Source organism: Homo sapiens, chromosome 6 (assembly GCF_000001405.40).
Source record: "Homo sapiens chromosome 6, GRCh38.p14 Primary Assembly".
In the NCBI taxonomy this organism is placed as follows: Eukaryota; Metazoa; Chordata; class Mammalia; order Primates; family Hominidae; genus Homo; species Homo sapiens.
In genome coordinates, this window is record NC_000006.12 from 79,123,909 (window position 1) to 79,137,710 (window position 13,802).

General features: G+C 37.9%; 1 annotated feature.

Moving 5' to 3' along the window:
• Nucleotides 11,040–11,540: an enhancer, noted in NCBI's record as "H3K27ac hESC enhancer chr6:79844665-79845165 (GRCh37/hg19 assembly coordinates)". NCBI's record gives its function as "activates a minimal SCP1, AML or CMV promoter by ChIP-STARR-seq in naive H9 embryonic stem cells {active_cell/tissue: H9 hESC(naive)}" and the evidence as "EXISTENCE:reporter gene assay evidence [ECO:0000049][PMID:30033119]".

The window sequence follows — 13,802 nt, forward strand, 5'->3', positions numbered from 1 at the left end:
TAGTAGTCTCAAGCTGAAAACAATTGAAATATGAGGGGTCTTCAAAGCTCATGGAAAATGTATATCATAAAAAAAACCCAGTGCGTGGATTTCAAAAAAATTTTTGCACCAAAATAAACTCATACTAACCTGCTATTACATGTCTTAACAAGATCTAGTTTGCAGCAATAAGAAGGATAAGACATTGGTTTTAAAAGAGCTCTTATCAAAGCAACATAAATGCTGCTAATATTGAAACAAGAACAAAGATTTAATTTCTGATGAAGAATGGTGAAATCATTGGTGCTTTATACAAAGTTTATGGAGATAATGCTCCAAATAAATCAGCAGATTACAAATGGATAACTTGTTGTAAGGAGAGATGAGATGATGTTGAAGATGAAATCTGCAGAGGCAGATCATCTGCATGTATTTGTAAGAAAAACTCATCCTGTTCATGCCCTAATTGAAGACGACCAATGATTAAAAACATAATAGCCAATACCATAGACATCTCAATTGGATTAGTGTATATGATTCTGACTGAAAAATTAAAGCTGAGTAAACTTTTAACTCAGTGGGTGCCAAACTGGTTGCACACAAATTAACTACAGACAAGAGCAGGTCTTTCAATGGAAATTTTAAATAATGGATCAAGATCCTGAAGCATTTTTTCAAAGAATTGTAACAGGAGATGAAACATGACTTTACCAGTACTACCCTGAAGACAAAGCACAATCAAAGCAATGGCTACCAAGTGGTGGAAGTGGTCCAGTTGAAGCAAAAGTGGGCCAGTCAAGGACAAAGGTGATGGTGACAGTTTTTGGGATACTCAAAGCATTTTGCTTGGTGAGTTTCTGGAAGGCCAACATCTGCTTATTATGAGAGTGTTTTGGGAAATTTAGCCAACATTTTAGCAGAAAAACACCCCAGAAAATTTAACCTTTTCCACCATGACTATGTTCCTGCTCATTCCTCTCATCAAATAAAGGCAATTTTGCAAGAGTTTTGATGGGAAATCATTAGACATCCAACTTACAGTCCTGATTTGGCTCCTTCTGATTTCTTTTTGTTTCCAAATCTTAAAGAATATTTACATGGCACCCATTTTTCTTCAGCTAATAATGTAAAGAAGACTGCATTGGCATGGTTAAATTTCCAGGACCCTCAGTTCTTTAGGGATGAACTAAATAACTGGTATCATCACTTATAAAAGTGTCTAAGTTTACTTGATTGAACTTATGTTTATAATGTTTACATTTTTTATTTTTGTCTTTTAATTCCATTTTCTATGAACTTTTTGAAGCTCCCTTATACCATCAACTTGAGAATGAATGAACAGTTTGTGGCATATCCATATTATGAATGACTACTCAACAATAAAGGGGAAAAACTACTTATACTCGCATTGATGATTCTATAAATTATTATGGTTTGTGAAAGAAGTCACATACAAAAGACTACATATTCTATTATTCCACTATATGAAATTCTAGAAAAAGCCACACTATAGTGTCAGAAACCCAATCACTGTTTTCCAGAGGGTGGAGAGAAAAAATTAACTGCAAAGGGAGTATACAGTAACTTTTCATGGTGATGGGAAGTTCCATGCCATGAATGTGATTGTGGTTACACTCTATGCCCAATTGTCCAAATTCAGTGAAGTATGCACTTAAGCTTGATGAATTTTATTTATGTAAATTATACTATAATAAAACTCACAAAAATGTTTAACAGAGAGAAAACAAACAGTGGGAGAAAAAATCCTTTCAGTACCACTACATTTCTCATAGTAAAGTTGGCTAAGTCATATCAGTCATATGTGTGTGGGCAAGAGGAGGGTTGTCCCAAGGCAATGGGTGTTGAACAGAGGAAATAGGGGACTTTCTGAAATGTCCATAGAGGAGCGACAAAAGGAGTAACCTGGTTCAGGGAGTAGAGGAAGGGTAACTAAGGAACAGCTGAGGGTGTGGGGCCATTTCGAACAAAACTCTTTCATTATTTACATGGTCCTTCATGATCTGGGCCTTGCCTGTGTCTCCAACTCACTTGCCTACCCTCTCTCTCAGTCTGTTTTTACTCTGACTTCTTGTTTAGCTCTTTCTTAAGTTTCTTTGTGCACTCCTCATAGCTCTATGCTGGGCCCTGCTTTTTTTTTTTTTTTTTTTTTCCACTTACACCCTTTGTTCTCTTTAGGTCAATTATCCACTTCCATGCTTTCAATCATTATACCAATAATGACAAAACTAGGAAAAGCCTCAGAGATTATTTCTTTTCTACATAATGTCAAAGTGTATTCTTAGGCAATGAGACTAGCTACTTGAATTGGGTTTGTGAATGGAGACAGGAAAAGAAAGCCTTTATGAAGTTAGGAAAAAGTAGGCAAACTTGAGAGAGAGGAGCAACATTCGGTACTTCAAACTTATTATTCTTCTAGACTTAGTAACACTTCTTTGAAGCACGTAACACACTTGAAATCATTTCTTTAATATCTGTCTTCTGGGCTTACCTGTAATATTTTTGTGGGTCTGTCTTCTTTACATCTGAAATCTCCAAAACCAAGCAAGATGCTTGGCACTTAGTAGTTATTTGATAAATACTTGTTGCCTAACTAACTACTCTACTAATTACATCCAAGCCAAGCAATGTGCAATAAATTATTTCATGTCCCTAGTCTTTTACTGTTTTCTTTCCTTGGAATGCTCAACCCTCCTGATTTCTTCTTACCTACTCTCCAACCCAACTCCAAAAGGAAAATTCCTACTTAAATGTCTCCTTTAGAAAACTTCCTGACTTACCTAAAGCAGAGATTTGTGCCAACACCATCCTTCTGTATCCTTCCCTTCTAGCTAGTTCTTCCTTGAAATGTTTCCATGTCTGTTTTTTCTTCTTAGTTAATTCTGATTCTTCCACACTTGCCATAATAGTTGGCACACAGCAGAACTTTGATCAATATTTGTTAAATGAATGATTTATTTTTCCACCAGTCATGTGATATATGCAGAGTAGCATTATACCTAGGCAATTATTAGGGTTTGTGGGTAGAATGAGCCCCAAATCCCTAATGTGGAAACTGCTTAAAACAGAAAGTAAATCAACACCTACTAAGATGGATGTCAAATCTCAAATCCTTGTAGAAAGCTGTGTTGGAACTTCTAACCACTGCTAAAATTAGATTCAAATCAATAGTGAAGCAACCTAATTTTTATCAAGAAATTTTCCATAAGGAAGATAATAAAGTCATGTCTACAATTCTTTTTGAATTAGAGGCTAGATATATTAGCTTGGAAATAACTAGATGCAAAGTCATGAAGAGATTATGCAAAGTAACTTTTCATATGGCCTAATTTAATCTTGTGTGAAGCAAGTGCCTTTGTTAATTCAACTGATTTTTTTAAGGATTATAGTTTTTTTGTTACTTACTTCTCAGAATTAGAATTAAAATGTAGTTACCGGGAATCATCTAACCATGACCAAAAAAAAAAAAAAGAATTTTATAAGCATGCAGGACAAATAATATGTTGCTGGCATTGTTTACAAGTGTGTTAGATCCATAAATAATGGTTTACTAAAAGTTTAAGGACTTGAAGAGAAATATACAGATGACTCTACTTCTGCAACTTTTACCAACATTCTAGAGAAATGAATGTGTAGCTCAAAATTGAGTCCAAGGTCAATGTATTTAGTCTTTGGCAATGACACTGAGATTTTAAAGCAGAGGGTTTCACTGATGAAAATACAGTTCCAATTTTTTTAAAGGAGCATCTGTAATTTAAAAACACAAACCTCACCTCTTCCTTCCCAGTTATATGTAAGAAGCCCTTTTACAAATAACTGAAAATCATTTTATGTTGAAAAAAGAAGAGCACCCCACCCCCATGCTAACACCACCACCAGCATGCCCATAAGCACAGTTGCCAGCAGGGGCCTCCCCACCCCTCTAAGCAGTCTTACTTCTGCTGCTGCTGTAAACACCTACATGGAGGAAGGCATCCCAGCACTCTCTACCATCCTACTGTAGCCAATGAGTGTGCACCCCTCCATGTTGACACTGCCACTGCTGCTGCTGCTGGCATGTGCAAACAAGGACAGAGCCCACTGCCACCACATTTTTGTTGGCACTACCCATCAGAGTTTAGGGACCAGTAGAGTGGCAGCATCTCAACTCCCCCAGCACAGTGGGTTCCTAGCCTTGAGGAGCCAGAGAACAAAGTCAGGACCCGAAACAAGTCCCTAAGAGTTACAGCCTGCAGTCCAGGAGCTGGGAGCTGAGACTTGGTACCCACTAAAATTTTCCAGAAATGAAGCCAGTGGACTGAATCCATCTTATACCACAATCAAACCCTCAAGCTCATCAAACAGAATAAAAGAAAAAAAAATCCACCCAAAGGACAGCAACTTTAACGACTGAAGAAACACTAGCCCACAAAGACGAGAAAGAACCAGTGCAAGAACTCTGACAACTCAAAAAGCCAAAGTGTCTTCTTTCTCCAAACAACCGCACTCACTACCTCTCCAGCAAGGGTTCTGAACTGAACTGAGATAGCTGAAATGACAGAAATAGAATTTGGAATATGAATAAGAATGAAGGTCATTGAGATGCAGGAGTATGTTGAATCCCAATCCAAAGAAGCTAAGGATCACAATAAAATGATACAAGAGCTGACAGATAAATAACCAGTATAGAAAAGAAAGTAATCAACCTAACAAAGCTGAAAAACATTCTACAATTATTTAGGAATGCAATTGTAAGCATTAATGGGAGAATACGCCAAGCAAAAGAAAGAATTTCAGAGCGTGAAGACTGGCTTTCTGAAATAAGACAGACAAGAATAGAGAAAAAGAAGGAAAATGAATAAACAAAATTTCCAAGAAATATGGGATTATGTGAGGATATCAAATTTGTGACTCACTGGTGTTCTTGAAAGAGATGGGGAGAATGAAACCAACTTGGAAAATGTACTTCAGGATACCATGCATGAGAACCTCCCTAACCTAGCTAGCAAGGCCAACATTCAAATTCAGGAAATGCAGAGAACCCCAGCAAGATACTTCACAAGAAGATCATCCCTAAGACACATAATCATGAAATTCTCCAAGGTCCAAAGGAAAGAAAAAATGTTAAAGGCAGCTAGAGAGAAAGGTCAGGACACCTACAAAGGGAAGCTCATCAGACTAATAGCAGACCTCTTAGCAGAAAACCTACAAGCCAGAAGCAATTAGGGGTCAATATTCAACATTCTTTTTATTTTTATTTTATTTTTTTAAAGATTTCCATGGGTTATTGGGCAACAGGCAGTGTTTGGTTACATGAGTAAGTTCTTTAGTGGTGATTTGTGAGATTTTGGTGCACCCGTCACCTGAGCAGTATACATGTCACCCAATTTGTAGTCTTTTATCCCTCAGTCCCTTCCCATGCTTTCCCCCGAGTCCCCAAAGTCCATTGTGTCATTCTTATGCCTTTGCATCCTGATAGCTTAGCTCCCACTTATGAGTAAGAAGATACGATATTTGGTTTTCTATTCCTGAGGTACTTTACTTACCATAATAGTTTCCAATCTCATCCAGGTCATTAATTCACTCCTTTTTATGGCTGAGTAGTATTTTATTTTATATATATATATATATATATATATATATATATATATATATATATATATATATATATCTATCTATCTCACAGTTTCTTTATCCACTTATTGACTGATGGGCATTTGGGTTGGTTCCACATTTTTGTGATTGCAAATTATGCTGCTATAAACATGTGTGTGCAAGTATCTTTTTCATATAATGACTTCTTTTCCTCTGGGCGGATACCCAGTAATGGGATTGCTGGATCAAATGGTAGTTCTACTTTTAGCTCTTTAAGGAATCTTCACACTGTTTTCCATAGTGGTTGTACTAGTTTACATTCCCACCAGCAGTGTAGAAGTGTTCCCTGTGGACTGCATCCACATCAACATCTATTATTTCTTTATTTTTTTATTATGGCCATTCTTGCAGGAATAAGGTGGTATCGCATTGTGGTTTTGACTTGCATTTCCCTGATCATTAGTGATGCTGAGCATTTTTTCATATGTTTTTTGGCCATTAATATATCTTCTTTCAAGAAATGTCTATTCATGTCCTTAGTCCACTTTTTAATGGGATTGTTTGCTTTTTTTCTTGCTAATTTGTTTGAACTTGTTATAGATTCTGGATATATTAGTCCTTTGTTGGATGTATAGATTGTGAAGATTTTCTCCCACTCTGTGGGTTGTGTGTTTTCTCTGCTAACTGTTCCTTTTGCCGTGCAAAGCTCTTTAGTTTAATTAAGTCACAGCTATTTATCTTTGTATTTATTGCTTTTGTTTTTGGGTTCCTGGTCATGAAAACTTGCCTAAGCCAATGTCTAGAAGGGTTTTTCCAATGTTATCTTCTTGAATTTTTATAGTTTCAGGTCTTAGATTTAAGTTCTTGATCCATCTTGAGTTGATTTTTGTATAAGGTGAGAGATGAAGATCCAGTTTCATTCTCCCACATGTGGCTTGCCAAGTATTCCAGCACCATTTGTTGAATAGAGTGTCCTTTCCCCATTTTATGTTTTTGTTTGCTTTGTCTAAGATCAGTTGGCTGTAAGTATTAGGGTTTATTTCTGGGTTCTCTATTCTGTTCCATTGGTCTATGTGCCTATTTTTATAGCAGTACCATACTTTTCAGTGACTATGACCTTACGGTACAGTTTGACATCAGATAATGTAATGACTCCAGATTTGTTCTTTTTCCTTAGTCTAGTTTTGGTTCTGTGGGCTTTTTTGGTTCTGTATGAATTTTAGAATTGTTTTTTCTAATTCTGTGAAGAATGATGGTGGTATTTTGATGGGAATTGCATTGAGTTTGTAGATTGCTTTTAGCAGTATGTTCATTTTCACAATATTGATTCTACCCATTCATGAGCATGGGATGATTTCTTTCAGCAGTGTTTCTTAGTTTTCCTTGTAGAGGTCTTTCACCTCCTTGGTTAGGTATATTCCTAAATATTTTATTTATTGCAGCTATTGTAAAAGACATTGAGTTCTTGATTTGATTCTCAGCTTGGTCACTGTTGGTGTATAGAGGAGCTACTGATTTATGTACATTAATTTTGTATCCAGAAACTTTGCTGAATTCTTTTATCAGTTCTCGGAGCTTTCTGGAGGATTCTTTAGGACCTTCTAGGTAAACAATTGTATCATCTGCAAACAGCGACAGTTTGACTTCCTCTTTACCCATTTGGATGCCCTTTATTTCTCTTGTCTGATTGCTCTGGCTAGGACTTCCAGTACTATGTTGAAGAGAAGTGGTGAGAGTGGGCATCCTTGTCTTGTTCCAGTTCTCAGAGGGAATGATTTCAACTTTTCCCCATTCAGTATGATGTTGACTTTGGGTTTGTCATAGATGGCTTTTATTATATTGAGGTATGTCCCTTGTATGTCAATTTTGCTGAGAGTTTTAATCATAAAGCCATGCTGGGTTTTGTTGAATGCTTTTTCTGCAGCTATTGAGATGATCACGTGATTTTTGTTTTTGATTCTGTTTATGTGGTGTATCACATTTATTGACTTGCATATGTTAAACCATCCCTGCATCCCTGGTATGAAACCCACTTGATCATGGTGGATTATCTTTTTGATATGTGTTGGATTTGGTTAGCTAGCATTTTGTTAAGGATTTTAGCATTTATGTTATTAGGGATATTGGTCTGTAGTTTTCCTTTTTGGTTATGTCCTTTCCTGGTTTTGGTATTAGGGTGATACTGGCTTCGTAGAATAATTTGGGGAGGATTCCCTCTTTATCTTGTGGAATAGTGTCAATAGGATTGGTACCAATTCTTGGAATGTCTGGTAGAATTCTGCTGTGAATCCATCTGGTCCTGGATTTTTTTTGTTGGTAATTTTTTTTATTACCGTTTCAATCTCACTGCTTGTTATTTGTCTGTTCAGGGTATCTAATTCTTCCTGATTTAAGCAAGGAAGGTTGTATTTTTTTGAGGAATTTGTCCATCTCCTCTAGGTTTTCTAGTTTATGTTCATAATGGTGTTCATAGTAGCCTTGAATAATCTTTTGTATTTCTGTGGTGTCAGCTGTAATATCATCCGTTTCATTTCTAATTGAGCTTATTTGGATTTTCTCCCTTTTCTTGGTTAGTCTTGCTAATGGTCTGTCAATCTTATTTATCTTTTCAAAGAACCACCTTTTTTTCATTTTGTATTTTTGTTTGTTTGTTTTAGTTTCATTTAGTTCTGCTCTGATCTTGGTCATTTCCTTTTTTCTGCTTGGTTTGGGTTTGGCTTGTTCTTGTTTCTCTAGTTCCTTAAGGTGTGACCTTAGATTGTCTGAGCTCTTTCAGGCTTTTCGATGTAGGCATCTAGGGCTATGAACTTTCCTCTTAGCCCCGTCTTTGCTGTATTCCAGAGGTTTTGACAGGTTGTATCATGATTGTCGTTCAGTTTGAAGAACTTTTAAATTTCCATCGTGATTTCGTTTTTGAGCCAATGATCATTCAGGAGCAGGTTATTTAATTTCCATGTATTTGCATGGTTTTGAAGGTTCCTTGTGGAGTTGATTTCCAGTTTTATTCCACTGTGGTCTGAGAGAGTGCTTGATATAATTTCAATTTTCATAAATTTATTGAGACTTCTTTTGTGGCCTATTATATGGTCCATCTTGGAGAAAGTTCCATGCACTGTTGAATAGAATGTATATTATGTGTTTGTTGGGTAGAATGTTCTGTAAATATCTGGTAAGTCCATTTACTACAGGGTATAGTTTAAATCAATTGTTTCTTTGTTGACTTTCTGTCTTGATGAACTGTCTCATGCCATCAGTGGAGGATTGAAGTCTCCCACTATTATTGTGTTTCTGTCTATCTCATTTCTTAGGTCTCTTAGTAATTGTTTTATAAATTTGGGACCTCCAGTGTTAGGTGCATATATATTTAGGATTGTAATATTTTCCTGTCGGACAAGGCCTTTTATTATTATATAATGTCCCTCCTTGTCTTTTTTAACTGCTGTTGCTTTAAAATTTGTTTTATCTGCTAACACAGGAACAGAAAACCAAACACCGCATGTTCTCACTCATAAGTGGGAGTTGAACAATGAAAACACATGGACACAGGGAGGGGAACATCACACATCGGGGCCTGCCTGGGGGTGGGAAGCAAGGGGAGGGATAGCATTAGGAGAAATAGCTAATGTAGATGACAGGTTGATGGGTGCAGCAAAGCACCATGGCACATGTATACTTATGTAACAAACCTGCACATTCTGCACATGTGTCCCAGAACTTATAGTATAATAAAAAAAAACATGTTTTGTCTGATATAGGAATAGCTACTTCTGGTCGCTTTTGGTGTCCATTTGCATGGAATGACTTTTTCCATCCCTTTACCTTAAGTTTACGTGAATCCTTATGTGTTAGTTGTGTCTCTTGAAGGCAGCAGATCGTTGGTTGGTGAATTCTCATCCATTCTGCAATTTGTATCTTTTAAGTGGAACATTTAAGCCATTTATGTTCAATATTAGTATTGAGATGTGAGCTACCATTCCATTCATTGTGCTATTTGTTGCCTGTACCTTTTTTTAAATTGCATTTTTGTTTTATAGGTCCTGTTAGATTTATACTTTAAAGAGGTTCTGTTTTTATGCATTTCCAGGATTTGTTTCAAGATTTAGAGCTCCTTTTAGCAGTTCTTATAGTGCTGGCTTGGTGGTGGTGAATTCTCTCAGCATTTTTTTGTCTGAAAACAACTGTATCTTTCCTTCATTTGTGAAGCTTAGTTTCGCTGGAAATAAAACTCTTTGCTGATAATTGTTTCATTTGAGGAGGCTGAAGATAGGGTCCCAATTTCTTCTAGCTTGTAGGATTCTGCTGAGAAATCTGCTGTTAATCTGATAGGTTTTCTTTTTTAGGTTACCTGGCATTTTTGCCTCATAGCTTTTAAGATTCTTTCCTTTGTCTTAACTTTAGATAACCTGATGACAATGTGCCTAGGTGATTACCTTTTTGCGATGAATTTCCCAGGAGTTCTTTCAGCTTCTTGTATTTGGATATCTAGTTCTCTAGCAAGGCTGGGAAAGTTTTCCTCAATTACTCCCCCAAACATATTTTCCAAACTTTTAGGTTTCTTCTCTTCCTCAGGAATGTTGATTATTCTTAAGTTTGGTTGTTTAACCTAATCCCAGATTTCTTGGAGGCTTGGTTCATATTTTCTTATTCTTTTTTCTTTGTCAGATTGGGTTAATTCAAAAACCTTGTCTTTGAGCTCTGAAGTTTTCTCTTCTGCTTGTTCGATGCTATTGCTGAGACTTTCCAGAGCATTTTGCATTTCTATAAGTTTGTCCATTATCTATTTCATTAAATATTTCTCCCTTCACTTCTTGTATCATTTTTTGGATTTCCTTACACTGGACCTTGCCTTTCTCTGTTGCCTCCATGATTAGCTTAATAACTAACCTTCTGAATTCTTTTTCAGGTAAATCAGGGATTTCTTCTTGGTTTGGATCCATTGCTGGTGAGCTAATGTGCTTTCTTGATGGTGTTAAAGAACCTTGTTTTGTCATATTACCAGAGTTGTTTTCTGGTTTCTTCTCATTTGCTAAAGGAAGGCCTAGGGCTCAAGGCTATTGTTTAGATTCTTTTGTCCCATGGGTTGTTCCCTTGAGGTAGTAGTCTCTCCCTTTTCCTAGGGAGGTGGCTTCCTGAGAGCCAAGCTGTAGTGATTGTTATCTCTCTTCTGGACCTAGCCACCCAGCAAGTGTACAAGGCTCCAGGCTGGTCCTGGGGGTTGTCTGCACAGAGTCCTGTGATATGAACTGTCTGTGGGTCTCTCAGCCGTGGATACCAGCACTTGCTTCAGTGAAGGTGGCAGGGGGGTGAAATGGACTCTGTGAGAATCCTTATATTTGGTTGGTTAATGCACTATTTTTGTGCTATTTGGCCTCCTGCCAGGAGGTGGCGGTTTCAAGAGAGGGTCAGCTATGGTAGTATGGGGAGGAACAGGTGGTGGGCAGGGCCCTAGAACTCTCAAGAGTATATGTCCTTTGTCTTCAGTTACCAGGGTGGGTAAAAGGACCATTAAGTGGGGGCAGGTCTAGGCATGTCTGAGCTCAGACTCTACTTGGACAGGTCTTGCTGCAGCTGCTGTGGGGGATGAAGGTGAGGTTCCCAGGTCAATAGAATTATGTTCCTAGGAAGCTTATGGATGCCTCTACTGTGTCATGTAGGTTGTCAGGGAAATGGGGGAAAGCTGGCAATCACAGGACTCACCCAGTTCCCAAGCAACCCATAAGGCTGGTCTCACTCCCACCATTCCCCCCTGCAACAGCACAGAGTCTGTTTCCAGGAAGTAGATGAGCAGGGCTAACAGCTTGCCCCAGGCTACCTGCCTCCCAGCTGTGAAAGCAAATAGGGCTTTCATTATTCTCCTGCCTGTGGAGTCTGCACACTGGATTCATGCCCTCCCCTGAGTTCTGGCCAGAAGACTTCTCAATCAGTTCAAATTGTTACAAAGTTCAGTTGGAGGTTTCCTTCTTGTGACATTTTCCCAGTGCCTCTGGCAGCCCTCCTCAAGGACCCCTGTGAGACAAGGCAGAAATGGCTTGCTAGGCGGCCCAGCAATCCGACAGGGCTTTTCCCACTGCTTCCTCTACACTTGTATTTCACTTGGCTCTCTAAATGGACTCTGCTCCAGGTAAGGTCAGAATCTCCTTAATCTAGACCTCCAGTTTCCCCAGTGGGGGCATGTGTTCAAGGGTGGACGATCTCCCTTTCCCACTTCCACAGTTTGGCCACTCCACAGTATTTGGGGTGTCTCCTGGGTCCTGCAGGAGCAATCTGCTTCCTTCAGAGGGTCTGTGGGTTCTCTTGACTTTCCTAGTGTATTCCTGCAGTCATGCTGGAGCAAAAGTTCATGATGTCAGCCTGCACACACTGTCTCTCTGTCCGAGTGGGGGCTGCAATGTAGTCCTGCCTCCCATCTGCCATGATCTCAACATTCTTAAAGAAATTTCAACCAAGAATTCCATATCCAGCCAAACTAACCTTCATAAGTGAAGGAGAAATAAGATATTTTTCAGATAAGCAAATGCTGAGGCAATTCATTATTACCAGAACTGCCTTACAAAAGCTTCTAAAGGAAGCACTAAACATGAAAAGGAAAGACCATTAACAACCACTACAAAAATGCACTGAAATACACAGACCAATGAAATTATAAAGCCACCACACAAACAAGTCTGAATAATAACTAGCTAATATCATGATGACAGGATCCAATCCACACATATCAATCCTAACCTTGAGTGTAAATGGGCTAAATATCCTCAATTAAAAGGCACAGAGTTGCAAGCTGAATAAAGAACCAAGACCAATTGGTATGCTGTCTCCAAGAGACCCATCTCACATGCAATGACACCCATAGGCTCAATATAAAGGAATGGAGAAAAATCTGCCAAGCAAATGGAAAACAGGAAAAAGAAGGGGTTGCAATCCTCATTTCAGACAAAACAGACTTTAAACCAACAAAGATAAAAAAGACAAAGAAGGGCATTATGTAATGGTAAAGGGTCCAATTCAACAAGACCTAACTATCCTAAATATGTATGCACCCAACACAGGAACACCCAGATTCATAAAGCAAGTTCTTAGAGACCTACAAAGAGACTTAGAGTCCCAAACAATAATAGTGGGAAATTTCAACACCCTACTGACAGTATTAGACATATCATCAAGGCAGGAAATTAACAAAGATATTCAGGACCTCAACTCAGCACTGAATCAAGTGGGCCTGATAGACATCTACAGAACTCTCCACCCCAAAACAACAGAATACATATTCTTTTCACCACCACATGACACATATTCTAAAACTGACCACATAATCAGACACAAAACACTTCTCAACAAATGCAAAAGAACTGAAATCATAACAACCACTATCTTGGACCACAGCAGAATAAAATTAGAGATCAAGACTAAGAAAATTGCTCAAGACTGTAAAATTACATGGAAATTAAACAACCTGCTCCTATGACTTTTGGGTAAATAATTAAATTAAGACAGAAATCAGAAGTTCTTTGAAACTAATGAGAAAAAATATGCAATATACCAAAATACCTAGGACAGAGCTAAGGCAGTGATTACAGGGAAATTTATAGCACTAAATGCCCACATCAAAAAGCTATAAAGATCTCAATTTAAAGAGATCACAACTGAAAGAACTAAAGAACCAAGAGCAAACTAACCCCAAAGCAAGCGGAAGACAAGAAATAACCAAAATCAGAGCTGAACTGAAGGAGATTGAGACATGAAAAACTATTCAAAAGGTCAACAAATCCTGGAGTTTTTTTGAAAAAAATAATAAAATAGCTAGCTAGACTAATAAAAAAGAATAAAGAGAAGATCCAACTAATACAATTAGAAATAACAAAGGGGATATTACCACTGACCCCACAGAAATACAAATAACCATCAGATAATATTATGAACATGGGCACACAACTAGAGAATCTAGAGAAAATGGATAAATTCCTAGACACATACACCCTCCCAACACTGAACCAGGTAGAAATCAAATCCCCAAACAGACCGATAATGAGCTCCAAAATTGAATTAGTAATAAATAGGCTATCAACCCAAAAAAGCCCAGGACCAGATAAATTCACAGCCAAATTCTACCAGATGTACAAAGAAGAGCTGGTATCATTTCTACTAAACTATCCCAAAAACTGGAGGAGAAGGGACTACTTCCTAACTCATTTCATGAGGCCAGCATCACCCTGACACCAAAACCTGGTAGAGAC